Source organism: Homo sapiens, chromosome 20, assembly GCF_000001405.40.
Source record: "Homo sapiens chromosome 20, GRCh38.p14 Primary Assembly".
NCBI classification, from domain to species: domain Eukaryota; kingdom Metazoa; phylum Chordata; class Mammalia; order Primates; family Hominidae; genus Homo; species Homo sapiens.
Window position 1 is genome coordinate 50,040,173 of NC_000020.11, and position 20,871 is coordinate 50,061,043.

The window sequence follows — 20,871 nt, forward strand, 5'->3', positions numbered from 1 at the left end:
GTGCGGGCCAGGCTGGAGGAAATGGGGCCAAGACCCGTCTGGCCAGCAGACTCTCCTGGGACTGCTAATATCCCAAGTGCTGGTGACAAGACACAGCCCCGGGTGGCAGGGGGCTGGGGGCCTGAGACTCCGTAAACAGCCCTGGCTCGTAAAGCTGATCAAAGCAGCAGGCCTGTCCCAGCCCTGGCCACTTCCTGCAGGGCCCAGAGCCCTGGCCTGTGGGAGATCCTGGGAAGGGCCTCTCAGCAGAGGCTGCTTTGGGGTCTCTAGGCACTGGGGGCAGGGGCAGGGGCAGGGCCAGGTCCCCGAGCCTGTCCTGGCTTCGGTTTTCCCTCTTGTTTTGCAATGAAGACTGGCTGGAACCTCTGAGAAGCCTGTTTCACTGCATGTCTTTGACAAAAGCTTGGCCTCTGGAACCGGAGGTCTGGGGGTTTGAATCCCAGTCCTGCTACGGTGTGACCTCAGGCAGTGACACCCGCACCTCCCCTACCGCCCAAAACTGTCCTTAGCTCTAAAATGAGGATAATGATGGTACCTATTTCAACAGCCTTAGACTGTGAAATTTTATTGATATGATTTCTAATTATAGTTCATTAATTATCTAATGACAACAGTGACAGTAGCAGGCATCCTGGTGGAAAAGGCATCCCAGGTTGCAGGACTGGCTGAGGTTTGTGGAGCCAACGGCAAGGATTGTTGGGAAGGTCCCGGCTCCCATGTGCTCCTCCTGGGCCAGGTCTGGGCAAAGAGAGGCCCCGAGGTGGAGGATTTCCAGGCGGAGTGGAGGTTGCCAGGGCTACAGCCCCTGGCCTGACGTGAAGTAGCTTTTCCCAGGCCTGGCTCCAAGACCCCAGGGGTCTCACTCTCTCAAATCGGCCTGAGAAGATTTGAGGATGAAAACAGACCCAGGACTCGGCCAAGTCTCCCCTCCCTGTTACCCACTCAGCCTGGCCCCACCCTCTCACGCCCGGACTGTTGCGGTGGCCTCCTGGGCTCCCTGCCTCCCATTCAGTCCCCTTCGGTCCCCTTTTGGCCACAGAAGCTAAGTCAGACAGACCCTGTCCCTCTGCTCAGAGCCCTCCAGGGTTCCCACCCCACTCACAAAGCCTGAGCCCTCCCACAGCCCACAGGCCCAACCAGCCAAGGCGGAGTAGGCCTGTCACCTCCCAACGCCTCCCTGTCACTCACTGAGATACCGCCTCACCACGTAAAACCACCACGGCCCGCATGCCAGCTGCCTCTCCCGGCCTGGTGTTTTCATTTTCTTTAGCACTGGTTCCCTTCTGACGCCTGGTATAAAATCCCTGTTCATCTTCTCCGTCTCTGCCACAGGAGAGTCAGCACCATGAGGGCAGGGATTTTTGTTTTTGTTTTCTTCCATTTTGTTCCCAGCCATATCTATACCCAGTTCCTAAAACTGGAGGCACTTAATAGGTGTCTGTGGGAGGCAGGAACGGGTCCTCACCAGCTCTAGGGGCAGGTACTATCGTTATTTCCACTTTACGAAGGAGGAAGTGAAATTGAGCAAGACCTCACACAGCTGGGAAGCGGAAAGTCAGTGCCTTGATGATCATGATGATGATGATGATAACAACAGCTAAGATATATTAAGCACCTACTGTGTGCCAGGCACCGTTCTGGGTGCTGGAACAATAGCAAAAGAAAAACACCAGGTGCGGCCGGCAAGGTGGTGTGTGCTTATAATTCCAGCATTTTGAAAAGCCGAGGCAGGCAGATCACTTGAGCCCAGGAGTTTAAGACCAGCCTGGCCAACATGGTGAAACCCCGTCTCTACTAAAAATACAAAAATTAGGCTGGGCGCAATGGCTCACACCTGTAATCCCAGCACTTTGGGAGGCCGAGGAGGGAGGATTACCTAAGGTCGGGAGTTCGAGACCAGCCTGGCCAACATGGAGAAACCCCCATCTCTACTAAAAATACAAAATTAGCTGGGTGTGGTGGCGCATGCCTGTAATCCCAGCTACGAGGGAGGCTGAGGCCGGAGAATCGCTTGAACCTAGGAGGCGGAGGCTGCAGTGAGCTGAGATCGTGCCATCGCTCTGAGCGACAAGAGCAAAACTCCGTCTGAAAACAAAACAAAATAAAACAAAAAACAGCACGAAAATTAACCTGGTGTGGTGGCACATGCCTGTAATCCTAGCTGCTCAGGAGGCTGAGGCAGGAGAATTGCTTGAACCTGGGAGGCAGAGGCTGCAGTGAGCCAAGATTGTGCCAAGGAAGAAAAGGAAAAGAAGAAAAATACCAGGTGCATTGTAAGTACGTTACAGCAGATAACTCTTGGAATCCTCAGTGGGGCCCTCTGTGGAGGGGACTATTACTGTCCCCATTTCACAGATGTGGAAACAGAGGCCCAGAGGGATTAAGTAACCGGTCTCTAACAACAACAGCTCCAACAGCAGCCCCCATGTACTGAGCTGTGCTCTGGGCCCTGGCATTCACCCGGTATCCCTCACCTTTCCTACGCTTTTGGTTATCCTCTACAGCAAAGAACCCAGCCTCTGGAGAAGCAGTAAGTCCCAGCCCATTTCCCAGGCTCTTCTGCCCCCTGGGCACACCTGGTACCAGGCATGGACAGGCCCAAACACCGAGGCCATTGCACATTTGCTGCCTCAGAGGGACTCACCTTGGTGTCTCAGTTTCCCAAGACTCTTCGGGGTCTGGGGCCCATGGAACGGGTAAGCAGTTCTTTCTCATTCACACCTGGGACCCCTGCTGTCCCCAGGGAGGGCCTGAGGAAGTGTTGGCCACTCTGCTGTGTGACCTTGGACAAACTGCTGTGCCTCTCTGATCTTCCAGGCTCAACCAACTCCATGGGGTGGTGGCTTGCTGAGAAAACTGTGGGCTAGGATCTGTGAGCCAGGGTCTGGGAGGAGTGAGGACCATTCATAGAAAGCCTGGCAACTGGGAGCACCTGCATCCTGCCTGGGAGGACCACGTGGAGGGAGCAGAGCCACCTTCACCCCTGTCTCGGGCCTGTTTTCCCTTCCCGCTCTGCCCTGTACTTTGCAAGCCCCCAAGAGATGGGGTTGGGTCCTGTCCACTGCTCCCCCTCCCTGTTTTGGCCACACTTTCTCACTAGGAAAGAAAATGACCAGGAGGCCACATTCTCCAGGCCCCCAAAGCCTGCACCAGGGTCTCTCCCAATCCACATCATTCCACCTTTTCCCGCTGCCACTCCACCTCTGTGACCCCTTCTCCTGTCACTCAGTCCTTGCAATAACTAAGGATTCAGCCAGGGTTATGGCTCTGCCTCTTTTTTTTTTTTTTTTTTTTAGACGGAGTCTCGCTCTGTCGCCCAGGCTGGAGTGCAGTGGCACAATCTTGGCTCACTGTAAGCTCCGCCTCCCAGGTTCACATCATTCTCCTGCCTCAGCCTCCCGAGTAGCTGGGACTACAGGCGCCTGCCACCATGCCCAGCTAATTTTTTGTATTTTTAGTAGAGACAGGGTTTCACTGTGTTAGCTAGGATGGTCTCGATCTCCTAACCTTGTGATCTGCCCGCCTCAGCCTCCCAAAGTGTGGGGATTATAGGCGTGAGCCACCGCGCCCGGCCGGCTCTGCCTCTTTTGCCGATTGGGAGACAAGTGCAAAGAGGTACCTGGCATGGTTCTGAGTCCAGGGAAAGACAGGACGCCATCCCCAGAGGGCCATGGTGATCTCTCCAGAGGCCAGCCCTCCCCACTGTGCCCTTGCTTGGGGCAATAATGGCTCAGCTGATGGACCACGCGCGGTGTGCACTGTCCCCCATTTTAAGAAAGAGGGAACTGGGCTTCAGAGGGGACAGCCACCTGCCCGAGGTCACCCAGCCAGGAGGTGGCAGTGCCTGTCTGATGCAGAGCCTGTGAGTATGGTGGGCAGGGGAGAATGAGGCCCAGCGAGAGGAACGGCCCTGCCCAAGGTCATGCCACCGCTACCAGGGCGCAGACCCCCCAGGCTGGGCCAGTGCTGAGAGCACTGGAATCCCAGGCAGAGTCTTCCCATGACCCTGGGTGGGGGTGGGGGCTGGCCTGGCATTTCCTGTTTGGGCAGGACCCAGGGCATGGCCTGAGTGGGGAGATAGGGAGACTTCCTACGGCCCCTCCCCGCTCAGGAACTAGCCCAGGATGCAGTGCGGGGCAGGGTTGGGGCCCGTGTCCTGGGTCCCAGGCCAGCTCTCCCCTTGATATCCTGGTGGTCTTGTTCTCGTCCCCCAACCCCACCTCAGAGTCTCCACATCCTTGGATTTCTCCATTCTGGGAGTTCACCATTCAATGAACAGATCCAGTTCCAGGTCTTTAGGAGAGCCTGAAGCCATGACCTTGGACAATCACCTCCCCTCTTTCAGCCTCAGTTGCCTCCTCTGTCAAACAGGGTGATTGATTGTGAGGATGAAATGAGAAGTCGCCTGCCCAGCACTTCGGGAACCCCACTGCCCCAAGGGAGAAAGTCACCAAGGTCCTGACAATGACCTCATGTGCTTCCCAGACACAGACCCGAGGCCACAGAGGTTGGGGGACCTATGTGAGGACACACAGCCAGCTGAGGCCTCTCCACTGCCATTTCCTGGGACACAGCCATGAAGTACCAAGAGGGTGCACTATTGTGTCCAGTGCACTGAGTTCACCCCAGCCATGCTGCTCACTGGCTGTGAGTGGCACTGGGAAGGTCACCTTACCTCTCTGAGCCTCAGTTTTCTCTTCTTCAAAATAGGAAGAAAACTAACCTGATGGCAGAACTTAATGAGCCGATTAAGTGCACAAGCCACCAGTGGCAGAGTCTGGCACCTGGTAATTCATGGTCTCCCCAGAGGAGGAGGCTGTGGTCCGCTGTCTCGGGTCCCTTCGGGTGGGATGAAGGGCCCCCAGCTGGGAAGGGTCGAGTCCAGCTGAGGTTATTGGGACAGCCAGGAGCAGTGGCTGACCCATGCTCTATGTAAGCAGGACCAAGCTCGTCTGCACCTCAACACTCCACAGCGTCTGCCCTGTCAATGCTCTGGGGTATAGGCCCTGCTGACCTCTCCCACCTTATTCCCCCACCACACTCCTTTGCTAGCACCATTCTCTAACCACGAAGCCCGCTTTGTGTTCCTCCATTCTACAAGCTCATTCCAGCCTCAAGATCTTTGTAGCTAAAGGTCTCTCTCCCTAGGTCACACACCCCCACCCCCATATTTCCCCTATTTTATTTTTTATTTGTATGTATTTATTTATTTTGAGACGGAGTCTCGCTCTATCACCTAGGCTGGAGTGCAGTGGCATGATCTCGGCTCACCACAACCTCTGCCTCCCAGGTTCAAGCCATTCTCCTGCCTCAGCCTCCCAAGTAGCTGGGATTACAGGTGCATGCCACCACGCCAGGCTAATTTTTATATTTTCAGTAGAGATGGGGTTTCACCAAGTTGGTCAGGCTGGTCTTGAACTCCTGACCTCGTGATCCACCCGCCTCAGCCTCCCAAAGTGCTGGGATTACAGGCGTGAGCCACCTTGCCCGGCTCCCCTATTTTATTTTTATCTTCTATCATTGGAATCTAAAACAGGACCTAGAATAATTTAGGCACTAAATAAATGAAAGGCAATGAATAAATGAATGCATTCTGATTTTGAATCTAATGAGTCTTTGTTTTTTAATAGACCCATTTAACTCATTTACATTTATTGTTTAAATGGATATGTTTGGTATTGTGTGATTCTGTATTGTGTTTTCTGTTAATTGACTGATTGAATGAATAGATGAATGAATGAGTGAGTGAAGCAAAGTAAATTTCAGGTTGCTGGGGTGGGCTGAAGATTGGAGCTTTCCTGGGCTATCCAGGGTGAAAAGAGCAATGGCATTGACCCTAGACCCCTCACTTTTGCAATTATTTATTCCACAGCCCTTGATCCCCCAGATGAAGGATCTGTCCATTCTTCTCATCTCCAGCCTCTCCAATGTAACCTTCATCCTGTCCCTCCCAAACCACCTCCCCACACAGGGAGCATCAGGCTTATGATTCTGGGTTGTAAGTTAGATTCTCATTCCCATGCCTGCTCCCCCATTAACTGGTGGTGTGGCCTTGATTTACCTGAGTCTTCATTTCCTCACTTGTAAAATGGGATCATAGTATTTGCTTCCTACTATGACTGTTGAAAGGATTACATGGAACAACTTGGGTCAAAGGGCTTAGCACAGTGCCTGGCTTAGAGAAAGCACTCAGCAAGCTAAGATTTCATTATTATTGTTGTTGTACCTCAGTTTCCTTCCATTGTAAATGAAGCTGATTTTCACTTCCTTTCAGGCACCTTAGGATCCCTAGCCTCAAAATCTGGAGCTGGGGAATCTGTCCAACCCACCTTCTCACTGTGTTCTCTACCCTCAGCTCCCAGAGAGGGAATTTCTGGGGACTCTAGGGGATCCTCAGAGGCCTGACCTGCCACCAGGAGGTGGGGAGAGAAGACAGCACAAAAAATGTGAAAGCTTCTTCAGGGACTGGGTGTGGTGGCTCACACCTGTAATCCCAGCACTTTGGGAGGCCAGGGCAGGAGGATTACCTGAGGATAGGAATTTGGGACCAGCCTGGGCAACATAGTGAGACCCCATCTTTACAAAAAGCTAAAAAAAAAAAAAAAGAGCTTCTTCATGCCATCTCTGTGGCCACATCAGCATTATCCCCACACACAGATGAGGAAACTGGGACTGCACTCGCTCATTTAATTCCACAGACACACCCCCCTGAGCACCTACTGTGTGCCAAACTGTGCCAGGCCACAGGGCAGGCAGACCAGGCCTCTCTCCCCCAGGGCTCATGGCCCATCAGGGAAGACAGGAAATAGCAAGTCAGCCCGGGAGGATTTAAATCAAGCGCCTTGCCCAGCCCTTCAAAGCCTCCTAGAGAATTTTCCAGCATCCCTGCCTGGTGGGCGGCCCTGCTCCCTTGCTCCCTTTTCTCAAAAGAGAAAGCCCGAGGCCAGAGAGGGGCGTTCCCAGCCTGGCTGGAGTCACAGCTTCCGAGGGGTGGTGACAGTCTTCCTGCCTTTGCCCCAGCTGGTGTCCCTGCCGGGAATACTCTTCTCCTGGTGGGCTGCCAGCAGATCCTGCCCAGTGCTGGGACACTGCCGGGCGTCACTTCCTCTGGGACCTTCCTGGCTGAGAGGGCAAGGCGCTGACACTCTTGCTCAGCGCCAGAGGGTTTCCTCTTTCATAATGAGTTTCCTACTCACTAGGAAGGTCTGCGTCCCTTGAGACTCTGAGCTTCACGAGGGGCACAGGCTTTGCCATCTTCCTGGCACCTCTCACCTGCCCAAGCAAGATGGGAACGAGGCGCTGCTGGGTCCCTTTCTCAGGAAGACGCCCCTACCTCCGCTCCAGGCGTGGATGGCACTGAAGGCCTCTCCCTGCATCTTCTCCTGCTTCAATTCTGCACTTGGTTTATGGAGTTATTTCTTTTGATTTTTCTTAAGACCTTAAGTGCTTTTTTTTTTATTCTTCTTGCCCAGGCTGCAGTGCAGTGGCATGATCTCAACTCACTGCAATCTCTGCCGCCTGGTTTCAAGTGATTCTCCTGCCTCAGCCCCCCAAGTAGCTGGGATTACAGGCACCCGCCACCACACCCAGCTAATTTTTGTAGTTTTAGTAGAGACGGGGTTTCACCATGTTGGCCAGGCTGGTCTCGAACTCCTGACCTCAGGTGATCCAGCCGCCTTGGCCTCCCAAAGTGCTAGGATTACAGGCATGAGCCACCGCACTCGGCCAAGTACTTTATTTTTTTAATTTAAATTTTTGTAAAGACAGGGTCTTGCTATGTTGCCCAGGCTGATCTCAAACTCCTGGCCTCAAGCAATCTTCCCACTTCAGCCTCCCAAAGCACTGGGATTACAGCCATGAGCCACTGTGCCCAGCCTGTGGGGTCATTTCGTTGTCTAACTCCCTTTCTAGAATGTTGTCTCTGTGAGGACAGGACTTTTGTCTGTTTGGGGCACCACTGTGTCCCCAGTGCCTAGCATGGTGCTTGGCACATAGGTGCTTAATAACTATCTGTGGAAGGAAGGGAAGAAGAGAGGGAGAGAGGAAGAAAAGAAGAAGAGGAGGGAGGGAGAAAGAAGAAGGGAAGGAGACAGGGAAGGGGAGGTTGCCATTTATTTGTCCAGTTTTTCATTTGTTCATTCCACAAATACTTATTGAGCACCAATTGTGTGCTAGTTCTGGGGAGAGAATGGTGCCAGACACAGACACGATCCTGCCGGCAAGGCACTGACTTTCTGGTTAGTGAGAACCAGTCAGGTTCAGTGGCGGAAAGTGTGGGGAGGCAAGGTAAGGTGGGCGAGGGGCTGCAGACAGCATGTCGGGGGCACCTGGGCCAGGCTGCTGGCAGGAGGGCTCAGCTGGCAGGGACAGGCCCCGGCTCCCCCTACCCCCAGCTGGCAGATGCACAGGGCTGTGGTAGCTGTGGGCAGCCCGGTTGCCAAATGCCACCACAGCTGCGTCACTGAGAGCTGGGAGGGCCCCAAGGCTGAGGGGGCTGGGAGGGGCCCCCACACCCAGGCTGGCTCCAGCCCCGAAGCAGATAGAACTGGTCAAAGGCCTGCCCCGTGCCCACTGTTCCCCACTCTATGTGATGTGGCTACATGGCTACTTCCTGTTCTGGACCATTTTCAATTTGCAAAAAAAAAATGGTGCAAAAAATGTGTTAAAAATAAAATGAAAAAGAAAGAAATGGTACTTGAGCCTCTGTACATGTTCCTACCTCCAAGAGAGAAGTTAACCGTGGCAGTGACCGTGGGATGCTCCTGGCATCCTTCTGATCTCAGCCCCTCCCCGCCCCCTCCAGAGGCGACATCATCCCGAACCTGGCATCCATGACTCTGTGTGTGATTTCATAGTGTAACTTTCCTGGGTCTACTTTAGTGTGTCCCTGGGCAAATCACTCATCTTCTGTGAGCCTCAGTTTCCTCAACTGCAGGATGGGGATAATAGTCCCCACGTCGGAAGAGTCTTGAAAATTAAATGAGTGCGTCTGTGTAAAGCTCTTTGATGGGCACCTGGCACTACATAAGCATTCGCCAGTGTTGCTGCTGGACACCCAGAACAGGGGGCAGACAGGTGTCACTTGTGTCAAGAATATAACTTTTTTTTTTTTTTTTCTGAGACAGAGTCTCATACTATTGTCCAGGTTGGAGTGCAGTGATGCAATCACAGCCCACTGAAGCCATGACCTCCTGGGCTTCCTGCCTCAGCCTCTCAAGCAGCTAAAACCACAGGTGTGCACCACCATGTCCAGCCAATTTTTTATAGAGACAAGGTCTCGCTATGTTGCCCAAGCTGGTCTCGAACTCCTGAGCTCAGGTGATCCTCCTGCCTCAGCCTCCCAAAGTGCTGGGATTAGAGGCATGAGCCACTGCACTTGGCCAAGAACCCAACCTCTTAAACAAGCTCATGCGCGGCGGTGCCAGGATTCACACCAGTGGCTGGCTGCAGAGTGGCATTACAGAGGAGCTGGGTGTTAGCTCTGGTTTATTCTGTTTCACTTCCTGTCAGATTTGTCTCCCTGATCAGTTCTGAAAAACCAGGGTCAGTGCCTGGCTGGTTCTCTGCTGTCACCCCTGCCCCAGCCCTGGAGACTCCAAGGATGGGTTTGTGGAGTGAACGAAGGGGACTCAGTTTCCTCATCTGTGTGATGGGTCTTACAGGCCGTAGGAAGGCGAGAGTGCCCAATGTGAAGTAGATGCTTTATAAACCCTTGTTTGTTTCTTCCTCTTCCAGCTGGACCTCCTCCCCCTCCCCCAGGTCTGGGCCTGGACCCCACTACCTTCAGGGCAGCCATCATGCTGACAGAGCCCTCCGAGGCAGTCAGACTGGGCTCGTCACTGACTCACTCATTCTTTCATATAATCATATATTCATGCACACTCGCATTCAACAACTGTTTTGAGCTGTGGCTCATGCCTCTAATCCCAGCACTTTGGGAGGCCAAGGTGGGCAGATCACTTGGGGCCAGAAGTTCAAGGCAAGCCTGGCCAACATGGAAGAACCCCGTCTCTACGAAAAATACAAGATTTAGCTGGGTGTGGTGGTGGGCGCCTGTAATACCAGCTACTTGGGAGGCTGAGGCACGAGAATTGCTTGAGAATCGCTTGAACTTGGGAGGCAGAGGTTGCTGTGAGCCAAGATTGTACCACTGCACTCCAGCCTGGGTGACAGAGTGAGATCTGTCTCAAAAAAAAACACACAAATGTTTTGAGCACCCACTATGCGCCAGGCTCTGCTCTAGGCTCTGGGGACATGGACGTGAATAACACAGGCCAAAATCTCTGTCATGGTGGGGCTGACACCTGTCTGGGGAGACAACCATCAGACAATGGTTGTGGCACTGGGTGACCCAAGTCAGAGGGAAGGGAGGGGAGGGAGAGGGGGCTGGGCCTTATCCTGAGGGTGATGGGGGCACATGAGTTGGCAGAGGCCAGACTTGATATACGTTCTTCATGCTTCACTCTGGCCCCAGCAGAAGCGTGTGCTGGAGTGAGGCTTAGCACAGATAGAGGTATCCGCAAACCCTGCCGTGTCAGACCTGGTCTGAGTTCCCTAGGAACAGGCCCATGATGTGGGAGCCGGGGCTTCCACTGTCCCACTGTCCTCGCAGGGGATGGGATCAGGTGTCAGCACCTCCCCATGGAGTACAGTTGGGCAATGGCCTTGGGCCTGAGGGCTGTTCAGTCCTGTGACCAGCCAGGCCCCTTCTGGGAATGGAACCACACCCCAACCCCCAGGCGATGACGTCCCACCAGGGTGTTCCCCACACAGTTCCCACCAGCCCCAGATGAAAACAACTCAATGCTGCATCCACCACCCAAGGCCTCATCAAATCCACCAGGATCCATCCAGACGGCAGAATATTCTGGAGTCTCGGACAGGCAGGATGGGGCGGAGTTTTGGACCACAGGCCTGGCCTGAACCTGAGTTCTCCAGTCACTGCTGTGTGGAGTTGGGAAGGTGCCTTGCTTCTCTGTGCTTCTGTTTCCTTATCCTCAAAATGGGGATGATGATAACAACAGACCCTCGGCCAGGCATGGTGGCTCCCACCTGTAATCCCAGCACTTTGGAGGCTGAGGTGGGCGGATCACCTGAGGTCAGGAGTTCAAGACCAGCCTGGCCAACATTGTGAAAACCCATCTCTACAAATAATTAAAAAAAAAAAAATTAGCTAGGCATAGTGGTGCATGCCTGTAATCCTAGCTACTTAGGAGGCTGAGTGAGGCAAGAGAATAGCTTGAACCTGGGAGGCAGAGGTTGCAGTGAGCCGAGATCAAGCCACTGTACTCCAGCCTGGGCAACAGAGCGAAACTTTGTTTCAAAAACAAACAAACAAAACACAACAGGCCTGGCACAGTGGCTCACGCCTGTAATCCCAGCACTTTGGGAGGCCGAGGTGGGCAGATCACAAGGTCAGGAGTTCGAGGCCACCCTGGCCGACATGGTGAAACCCCATCTCTACTAAAAATACAAAAATTAGCCGGGTGTGGTGGCGGGCGCCTGTAATCCCAGCTACTCGGGAGGCTGAGGCAGAAGAATCGCTTGAACCCAGGAGGCAGAGGTTGTAGTGAGCCAAGATCGCACCACTGCACTCCAGCCTGGTGACAGAGCAAGACTCCACCTCAAAAAATAAATAAATAAATAAATAAATAAATAAACAAACCACAACAGACTCTCATGATAGGTTCACTTCACCCTGGGTTAATGAGTTAATCCATATAAAGCAGCGGTCTCCAACCTTTTTAGCACCAGGGACCGGTTTCGTGGAAGACAATCTGAAAGGGGCTGGGGGTTGTGTGGGGGGTTGTGTGTTGTGCATATCTCTCGTATATGCAATCTGCAATAGGGTTCGCACTTCTCTGAGAATCTAATGATGTGGGTGATCTGACAGGAGGCGGAGTTCAGGCGGTAATGCTCGCTTGTCTGCTGCTCACCTCCTGCTGTGCAGCCCGGTTCCTAACAGGCCACGAATGGGTACCTGTCTCCAGTCCAGGAGTTGGGGACCCCGATATAAAGCCTCAGACTGTGTCTGATACAGACTAAGCCCTAGAGAAACTTTGCTGTTGCTATGATTATTATTGACATTATTGATATTATTGACATTATCATTAGGTCGGGCACGGTGGCTCACACCTGTAATCCCAGCACTTTGGGAGGCTGAGGCAGGAGGATCCTTTGAGCCCAGGAGTTAGAGGCCGGCCTGGGCAACACAGCGAGACCTCGTCTCTAGAAAAATAAAAAAACAAAAAATTAGCTGGGTGTGGTGGCATGCACCTGTAGTCCCAGCTACACAGGAGGCTGAGGCAGGAGGATCACTTGAATCTAAGAGGTCGAGGCTGCAGTGAGCTATGATTGTGCCACTGCATTCCACCCTGGGTGACACAGTGAGACTCTGCCTCTTAAATAAATAATAATTAATTTAAAAATAAAAGCATTAGCAGTAGTAGTAGTAGTAGTAGTAGTAGTAGTAGTAGTAGAAGTATGGATTAATCCAAGGGGGAAAAAAGGAGGGAGTGGGACTGAGGTAAAGCAAGCTGCTACTTGGAGAAAAAGGTAAAGAAGATGACCAGATAGATGCGTGTGTAGATGTTCACACCATCTCCAGAGACCCAAGAGACTGGCGGCAGTGGTGGAGGGAGTGGGGACCTGAGGGAGGGGAAAGGACACCGACTTTCCACCCTTTGTCCCCTTCCACGCTGTTTGGGTTGTTCCTTTTTTTCTGTGCACTTGTGTGGATATTCAAAACCAAACACTACAGAAAGAAATTCTGCAAGAGGTTTCCTTCCTTAGCGAAAGCCCCAAATCGTCCCTCTCAGCCCCGCCCCCTCCCACCCCCACATCCCGGCCTGTGGGTGGCCCAGTCTGGTCTCCCACCTCTGCTGGTGTTCTGCGCTCCTGGCCTTGGAGCAGGTCCGAGCTGGAATGCCCTGCAAGAAAGGGGGCTCCTCAGAGTCCCTCAGAGTGGCCCTGGCTCTGGGCAGCCAGGGGTGTGGGGCTTTGGGGAGGGGGGTCCCGGCTGACTGATGAGAACTCCAAATGCTCCCCAGCCCCGGCTGCTAATCACTTCCAGATTGGCCGGGTCAGGGCCAGGGCCGCCGCCGCCTGGCTCCATAAACAGCCCGTCGCTCCAGATGGCGGCTGGCTCCAGCCTGGCGAGCAGGTTCATGGGGGACTGGGGGGTGGCAGCAGGTGGAGGACCCCCACCTCACTAGCCGCCTCAGCTGCCACACCTCCACACCGCCCTGAGTTGGGGACCCTGGGCCAGAAGGGGTGGCAGAAACTGAACCCATTGCTCAGAGGAGGGAAACTGAGGCCCGGAAGGGGCAACGTGGGTGGTGGTCAAGGTGGGGGGAAGACAGAGATGTAAGGGGGGTGCTCCTTGAGGGTTGATGCTGGGTTCACTTTACCTCTGTGAATCCAGCACACCATGAGGATGCCGTAAAGACCCGAGGAGGGAGGGAAGGGGGGCATCATTGCCAGCTGGGTTTAAATTCTGGCTCCAGCTTTTACTCCCTGAGTGAATAAATTATTTCCACCCCCAGCCTCAGTTTTCTCATCTGTAAAATGGGGATGGCTGGAGTACAGGATTGCTGGAAGATTCAATGATTCGGCTCCTGCAGACAGTTTGCACTCCACACACGGCGCAGGCGCTGAACACAGCTTCTCCCTCTTCCTTTTCCGGAAACTCCTTCTATTCCTGCTTCTCCTGCCGCCGGAGAGCACAGTGGCCTCCTCCAGGAAGCCACCTTGACTTTTACTCAGACCTCTCCCTTTGTGCCAGGCACTGTGCTTTTCCCACAGCCTCTCTCACAGGGTCTCTCCTCGACACAACTGGCACCTGACGCTCTTGTCCTTTTGAAAACAAGGAAACAGAGGGTCAGGGAAGTAACTGGTACCTAGTGCTGTTAGGGCCCCGCCCCTTGCAGATGAGGAGACAAAGGGCCAGGGAGGCAGTGGGATGGATATGTTGAGGTCGCCAGGAAAAGACAGCCTGATGTGCACCTGGAGCTGTCTCTGAAGGTCTCACAGAACCTGGCACAGCGTCAGGTAACCCGGCTGCCTCTCCTGCCACACCCACCAACCCCAGAGCCCACACCTTGGCACAGAAGGAAGAGATCCAGGCTGGTGCTGGGTCGTAATATCCCAGGGAAAGGGGTAAGGAGCCTTGACCTGCTCCCATACCTGCCTGTCTCCAAACTGGGCTGGATCCTGGCTGGGTGGCCGCTGGGTGGTAGCCTTGTCCCAGGACACCCGGCAGCAGGACAAGGTGGGGGAGCCAGTTGCTCTGTGAGTTCCCCTCAGGACCATCCCTTCCTGCTCCGCTGAGCAGAGACACAGCTCCCCGAGGCCTGAGTCCCCATTTTTCACCATCTTTATCCTCGTTCCTGGCACAGAAAAGCCTCAGTATCACTTTGTCGAATGTGGTATTGAGTGCATGGGTGAGGCACTCCTCCAAGCAACTTACTACAGTAACTTTTTAAATGTTTACATAGCCCTCTGAGAAGGGGACTATTATTATTGCCCGTTCACAGATGAGGAAATGGAGGCTCAGAGAGGTTAAGTGACTTACTGGAAGTCACACAGCTGGAGCTAGGATTTGAACTCAGGTCTCCTAGCTCCAGCGTGCACATTCTTGCCCACATGTCTCTGCTCCCAGGGTAGCAGTGAGCCTGAAATACGTGCAGTGCCTGGCAGGTAGTAGGTGCTTTTCCAAGCCCTTCTTTTGCTTCACTCAGCCTTGAGGTCAGCGGCCCGTTCTGCCCTGTGCCTGGGAGGAATGTTCGTGGTGGCCCCAGCCTGGATCCGAGAAGAAAGGCAGCCTTGTGGGCGAAAGGTGAGCGGCTGGGTGGGCGCGGGCGTGTTTATCCAGGGCCGGCGTGTGGCTCGGGGTGGCGCCGCTGTCAGCCGCGCCGGCTGCCCCAGGCCTGTGCTGGCCTCCAGATGTGAGCTGGCTCCAGCCGGCCGGGCCCCCCCACCCCACGCACAGAGGGGCTTTATCAAAAGCGGCTGTGAGGAGGCCCAGGAGGCCGCCTGGCTCCAGCCTGCTGGCTCTGAGCCCCGGGCCTGCAGAAGCCAGGCCAGTCGCACTTGTGCTCTTGTGCCCTGGTCTTCGTGTGCTCCACGGCCCAGCTCCTCTGTTCTCCTCGAGTCCCCTGGGGGCCCAGGCGAGGGACAGCCCCTTTGCCAGGAAACTGAAGCTGCAGGAGCAGTCCGGGAGGGGTAACAATGCCAGAACCCTCCTGCAGCGTTTATTTTTCTGCATTCCAGGGGGGTAGAGGTAACCCACACGGAACAAAAGTGCAAAATTCATCAAAATTCAGAGAGTGCTCAGTGAGACATCAAAGTGTAGACACTCGTGGGAAGGAGAAATTGCAGATTCAGAGAGCCAGTTCTTAGCGGGGAGGAGAGTAACTGGGGTTGGGGGGTTTGCAGGGGCTATGTTTTCTCTGCGGTATTTTCTTTTTTAGGTGGGGGTGGGGGTGTTATTCTTTTTCTTTTTCTTCTTTGGAGACAGGATCTCGCTTTGTCATCCAGGCTGGAGTGCAGTGGCGCCATCGCTGGCTCACTGCAGCCCTTGACCTACTGGGCTCCAGCAGTCCTCCCACCTCAGCCTCGCGAGTGGCTGGGACTCCGGGCACGCACCACCACGCCCAGATAATTTTTTAAAAATAGAGACAGGGTTTTGCCATGTTGCCCAGGCTGGTCTTGAACTCCTGAGTTCAAGCAATCCTCCTGCCTTGGCCTCCCAAAGTGCTAGGATTACAGGCGGGAGCCACCACGCCTGGCCTCCAGGGATGCTATTCTGTATATTTTATTCAGTGGCCTGAACTATTTTGTAATAATAAATCATAATAACTGGGAAAAAAAACAGAGAAAAAACCTGAGACATCCACCTGCTCCCGACCCTCAGCCCTACTCCTGTTAAAAATGGCTTCTAATGCTTTCTAGAGATTGTCTGAACACCCACAAGAAAATCCACATACATTCTCTGTCCTCTTTTGTTTTTGGTTTTATAAATAGTATCAAAATATAGTCTGAGCACAGTGGCTCACGCCTATAAACCCAGCACTTTGGGAGGCCAAGGTGGACGGATCCCCTGAGGTCAGGAGTTTGAGACCAGCCTGGCCAACATGGTGAAAACCCATCTCTACTAAAAATGCAAAAATTAGTCGGGCATGGTGGTGAGCACCTGTAATCCCAGCTGCTTGGGAGGCTGAGGCAGGATAATTGCTTGAACCCGAGAGGTGGAGGCTGCAGTAAGCTGAGATCACGCCACTGCATTCCAGACAGAATGAGACTCTATCTCAAAAAAAAAAAAAAACAAAAATGCTGCTCTGCACCTGGCTTTTTTCACTTAGCAGTATACTCCGGCCCTCTCTGCAACTGTCCTTGTTTGCAGCTGTGTGGTATTCCACCATGGGAATGCACCACGTCCAGTTTTCCAGGCCCCTGTTGATGATGATGTAGGTTGCTGCCTGAGGTTCACTACTACAGACCACACTGACTACGGGCACCCGGTGTCCGAGTCTTCGAGGACTCAGGCAGGTGCTGTCTAGACTCTGATGGTCAATTCTTAGAGGTAGAGCTGTGCAGGGTAGACACTTTTCCTCTTCTGAGAGCCATTGCTAATTTGCTTTCCCCAAAGTGTGTGTCCCTGTGTTGTCCCACCAGCACTGCGGCTGAAAGGGAAACTGAGGCACAGGGACAGTTGGCTGTTCAGAAGGGTGAGAGAAAACAGCTTCATAAGGAATCTCTACTAAAACAACATGCTTTCTCGGTTTCGTTTCTTTCTGATTGCAAAAGTGAAACATGTCCATTGAACAAACTTTAGAAAATACAGAGAATTGCAAAGTTAGAAAAGAAGGCCTCCTCCCTCCTCCCCACATACCTACCTCTAGTGGCTGGACAAAGACGAGGGTTTGGGCCGCAGGGCAAGCTGCCTGGTGTCCTTGCTATCCCCATGCCTGACTTGCTGTGTGGCCCCAGGCAAGTCTCAGCCTCTCTGGACCCCTGTGTCCTCATCTGTAACTGGGAATCCAAGGGTGCCAGACTCGAAAGGCTGTTGTAAGGATCAGGTGAGATCACGTGGGTACAGGAGTGGCCCAGCACAAAAGGTTTCATAAGAGGAGGCTATGATAGGTCTTCCTCCTGCCCCTCCGCTTGTGCGGCTGAATCCAGGATTTTTCCCTTGACTTGCCCCGCACAGTGAGGCCTGGCATTTTCTTCCCGCTCCCCATGCTGGCACGTGACACAGCCCCGGGCACATGGGAGGAACGTGATAAATGCTAATGGATGGCCCGGGAACGCCCTGTCCTCCACCAAGGTCCTGAAGTCTGAGCAGTGGTTGGTGACGGAAGACCTGGATGCGAAAAGCCGACCACCAGAGTCAAGACCCAGAGAAAACAGCAGGTGCCTGAGGCAAGGAAGCCGGGATTCCCAGACTCTGGCAGCCTGGCCCCAGCTGTCCCAGAGGGCACCCCGCCAGCCCCTGGGTCCACTCCACCCAGGGTCCAGCCCTGACTGCGCCAATGGCAGCAAAGATGGCAGGGACCCCAAGGGCAACTTCCCAACCACCAGCAGCATTTAGGGAGCACCAACTGTGTACCCCACTCTGGACTGGGCAGCATAGAGATTGTACCGCAGTGAATTCCTGGGGACCAGGGGTGGTGACTTCATTGTCTTCCTGTCCCTAGAGCCCAGCACTGGCTACTCATGGATTCAAACATTTATGGTGCACCTACTGTGTACCAGTGACTATGCTGAGTGCATCTGCCTGCCAAGAGAGGGAATTTCTGGACCATATATTTAGGGAGGGGAGGAAGACAGTGCACTTTCTTTTTTTTTTTTTAATCTTTTGTTGTTGTTGTTGTTGAGATGGAGTCTCACTTTGTCGCCCAGGCTGGAGTGCAGTGGCACAATCTCGGCTCACTGCAACCTCTGCCTCCTGGGTTCAAGTGATTCTCCTGCCTCAGCCTCCAAAGTAGCTGGGATTACAGGCGCCTGCCAACATGCTTGGCTAATTTTTATGTTTTTAGTAGAGACAGGGTTTCTCCATGTTGACCAGGCCAGTCTCGAACTCCTGACCTCAGGTGATCCACCCGCCTCGGCCCCCCAAAGTGCTGGGATTACAGATGTGAGCCGCCACGCCCGGCCGAGAGTGCACTTTTCTATCAAAGTTTTTTTTTTTTTTTTTTTTAACTGAAAGCAGTCTTTTCGTAAGTAAATAAACATAAAGAATTCCCAAGTTAAGCCGGGAGCGGTGGCTCATCCCTGTAATTCTAGCGCTTTGGGAGGCCAAGATGGGAGGATTGCTTGAGCCTGGGAGTTTGAGACCAGCCTGGGCAACATAGAGAGACACCATCTCTACAAAAAAAATCAAAACATTAGCTGGGTATGGTGGCGCCTGTCTGAAGTCCCAGTTACTCGGGAGGCTCAAGTGGGAGAGTTGCTTGAGCCTGGGAGGTCGAGGCTGTAGTGAGCTGTGATTGCACCATTCCAGCTTAAGCCACAGAGCGAGACCCTGTCTTTAAAAAAATAAAAAATTCCCAAGTTAGAAAAAAAGACAACCCTACCACCTACCAGTGATAGGAGGAAGTTCGGGGGCCTTGGGAGCGCCAGAGGAAGCACCTGACATAGACTGTAGGGCCAGGAGAGGCTTCCAGGAGGAAGTGAGTTCCAGGCAACGACCCCAGGAAGCATGAGAGGGAAGTTGGGTGGAGGGAAATAGGCCTTTGGGAGGCCGCTGCCCAGGCCTGGCAAGGCAGGCTGGGTGACTGGGTGCTGATGGTCTCACCCATCCCAGCCCAGCCGAAGGTGAGGGCTCTGTCCGATGCTTCTTGGCAGAGCTTATTGCAGTTGTAACGAAAGCATCACTTCTGTAATTATGTTTCTGTCTTCCTCCCTCCCACCCCACCTCTGAACTGGAGCTCTATGAGGGCAGAGCCCGTCCTGTCTGCCTCATCCACCATACTGTCCCCTGGGCCTGGAGCACACAGTAGGTGCTTATGGTGGATGACCTTCTGTTCCCCTGAAGTTCATGTCTACCAGGAACCTCAGAATGTGACCATATTTGGAAGTAGGGGCATTGGCTGATTAATTAGATAGGGATCTCCAGATAAGATCACACTGGAGTTGCGGTGGGCCCGAAGTCCAATGCCTGGTGGCCTTGTAAGAAGAGGAGTGGGAAGGCCAGGCATGGTGGCTCACACCTGTAGTCCCAGCACTTTGGGAGGCTGAGGCTGGTGGATCACTTGAGGCCAGGAGTTCGAGACTAGCCTGGCCAACATGGTGAAAGCCCATCTCTACTGAAAATACAAAAATTACCTGGGCGTGGTGTTGCACACCTGTAATTCCAGGTACTCGGGAGGCTGAGGCAAGCGAATCACTTGAACCTGGGAGGCGGAGGCTGCAGTGAGTCATGATCACGCCACTGCACTCCAGCCTGGGTGACAGAGCAAGACTCTGTCTCAAAAAAAAAAAAAAAAAAAAAAGAAGAAGAAGAAGAAGAGGAGGAGGATACACAGAGAGGCACAGAGGAGAAGGCCGTGTGAAGACAGAGGCAGGAACTGGAGAGATGCGGCCACAAGCCCAGGGGTGCCGAGGAACCCTGGGGAACACCAGGAGCTGGAATAAGGTGAAGGCGGGTAATTGCCCGGAGCCTTCAGAGGGGCGCACCCTGCTGATGCCCTGACTTCAGACTTCTGGCCTCCAGAACTGTGGGAGGACATATTTCTCTGTCTCTCTCTCTCCTTTTTTTTTTTTTTTTTTTGAGACAGAGTCGCCCAGGCTGGAGGCGCCTCCTCCCGGGTTCACGCCATTCACGCCATTCTCCTGCCTCAGCCTCCTGAGTAGCTGGGACTACAGGCGCCCGCCACCACGCCCAGCTAATTTTTTTCGTATTTTTAGTAGAGACGGGGTTTCACCATGTTAGCCAGGATGGTCTCGATCTCCTGACCTCGTGATCCGCCCGCCTTGGCTTCCCAAAGTGCTGGGATTACAGGCGTGAGCCACCGCGCCCGGCCTTTTTTTTTTTTTTTTTTTTTTTGAGACATGGTCTTGCTTTGTCGCCCAGGCTGGAGTGCATTGGTGCAATCTCAGCTCACTGCAGCCTCGACCTCTCCAGGCTCAAGTGATCCTCCCACCTCAGCCTTCCTAGTAGCTGGGGCTCCAGACACGAACCACCACGCCCAGCTGATTTTTGTATTTTTTGTAGAGATGGGGGTCTCGCCATGTTGCCCAGGCTAATACTTCTCTTTTTCTAAGCCACCACGTTTATGGCAGCCCTGGAAGACTCGTTCGGATTTTGCTGTGTGAATAAATGTGTGAATGAATGAATGAATGAGAGAAGGAATGAATGGAGAGCTCCTTTGAGTTGTGCAGGGCCCGCGGGGTGTGGCCAGATGTCTGCCTAAGGGCCATAGGGAGCTATGGCAGGGTCCCAGCCGGGAGCTGGTTGGGTCTTCCTAGTAGCTGGGACTCCAGACATGCACCACCACGCCCAGCTGATTTTTGTATTTTTTGTAGAGATGGGGTCTCGCCATGTTGCCCGGGCTGATACTTCTCTTTTTCTAAGCCACCACGTTTGTGGCGGCCCTGGAAGACTCGTTTCGGGGCATTTCAGGGCTGTTGTTCAGGCTGTGTTGGGGGCTGGATGCTGTCCAGCCAGTGAGGTGGGGGCTGTGAAGAGCTGTTGAGGGCCCGGCCTCAAGGAGGTAACCAGGAAATCAGGTTCTGTGGAACCCCTAATCCCAGAAGCCCATGTCCACACCCAACGTGGACACCCACAGCCGAGATTTCGGGGGTCTCTCCCCTTCTGGTGCCTTGCAGATAAGTTAGAGCCAATGTTTATCCCCGAGTTCTGAATGCACC

General features: G+C 53.6%; 2 long non-coding RNA genes across 3 annotated transcripts, besides 5 other annotated features; both read right to left on the reverse strand.

Moving 5' to 3' along the window:
- Positions 1-534: 534 nt before the first annotated feature.
- On the reverse strand, positions 535-1,457 carry TRERNA1 (translation regulatory long non-coding RNA 1). Its single transcript, NR_051976.1, has 2 exons — positions 1,205-1,457; positions 535-877 (listed from the first exon to the last, which is right to left on the reverse strand). It is a non-coding gene; the product is annotated as a translation regulatory long non-coding RNA 1 (long non-coding RNA).
- Positions 1,223-1,422: an enhancer, noted in NCBI's record as "active region_18081". NCBI's record gives its function as "activates an Ori minimal core promoter by ATAC-STARR-seq in GM12878 lymphoblastoid cells {active_cell/tissue: GM12878}" and the evidence as "EXISTENCE:reporter gene assay evidence [ECO:0000049][PMID:35858748]".
- Positions 3,400-4,347: an enhancer, noted in NCBI's record as "H3K4me1 hESC enhancer chr20:48660109-48661056 (GRCh37/hg19 assembly coordinates)". NCBI's record gives its function as "activates a minimal SCP1, AML or CMV promoter by ChIP-STARR-seq in naive and primed H9 embryonic stem cells {active_cell/tissue: H9 hESC(naive and primed)}" and the evidence as "EXISTENCE:reporter gene assay evidence [ECO:0000049][PMID:30033119]".
- Positions 9,575-10,369: an enhancer, noted in NCBI's record as "H3K27ac-H3K4me1 hESC enhancer chr20:48666284-48667078 (GRCh37/hg19 assembly coordinates)". NCBI's record gives its function as "activates a minimal SCP1, AML or CMV promoter by ChIP-STARR-seq in naive H9 embryonic stem cells {active_cell/tissue: H9 hESC(naive)}" and the evidence as "EXISTENCE:reporter gene assay evidence [ECO:0000049][PMID:30033119]".
- On the reverse strand, positions 12,843-17,392 carry LOC105372655 (uncharacterized). 2 transcript variants are annotated; one of them, XR_936832.2, is made up of 4 exons: positions 16,896-17,392; positions 14,185-14,387; positions 13,410-13,854; positions 12,843-12,929 (listed from the first exon to the last, which is right to left on the reverse strand). It is a non-coding gene; the product is annotated as an uncharacterized LOC105372655 (long non-coding RNA). The 2 variants fall into 2 exon arrangements; XR_936831.2 differs by lacking the exon at positions 12,843-12,929 and having other exon boundaries at positions 13,060-13,854.
- Positions 14,434-15,019: an enhancer, noted in NCBI's record as "H3K27ac-H3K4me1 hESC enhancer chr20:48671143-48671728 (GRCh37/hg19 assembly coordinates)". NCBI's record gives its function as "activates a minimal SCP1, AML or CMV promoter by ChIP-STARR-seq in naive H9 embryonic stem cells {active_cell/tissue: H9 hESC(naive)}" and the evidence as "EXISTENCE:reporter gene assay evidence [ECO:0000049][PMID:30033119]".
- Positions 16,717-16,806: an enhancer, noted in NCBI's record as "active region_18082". NCBI's record gives its function as "activates an Ori minimal core promoter by ATAC-STARR-seq in GM12878 lymphoblastoid cells {active_cell/tissue: GM12878}" and the evidence as "EXISTENCE:reporter gene assay evidence [ECO:0000049][PMID:35858748]".
- Positions 17,393-20,871: the final 3,479 nt, after the last annotated feature.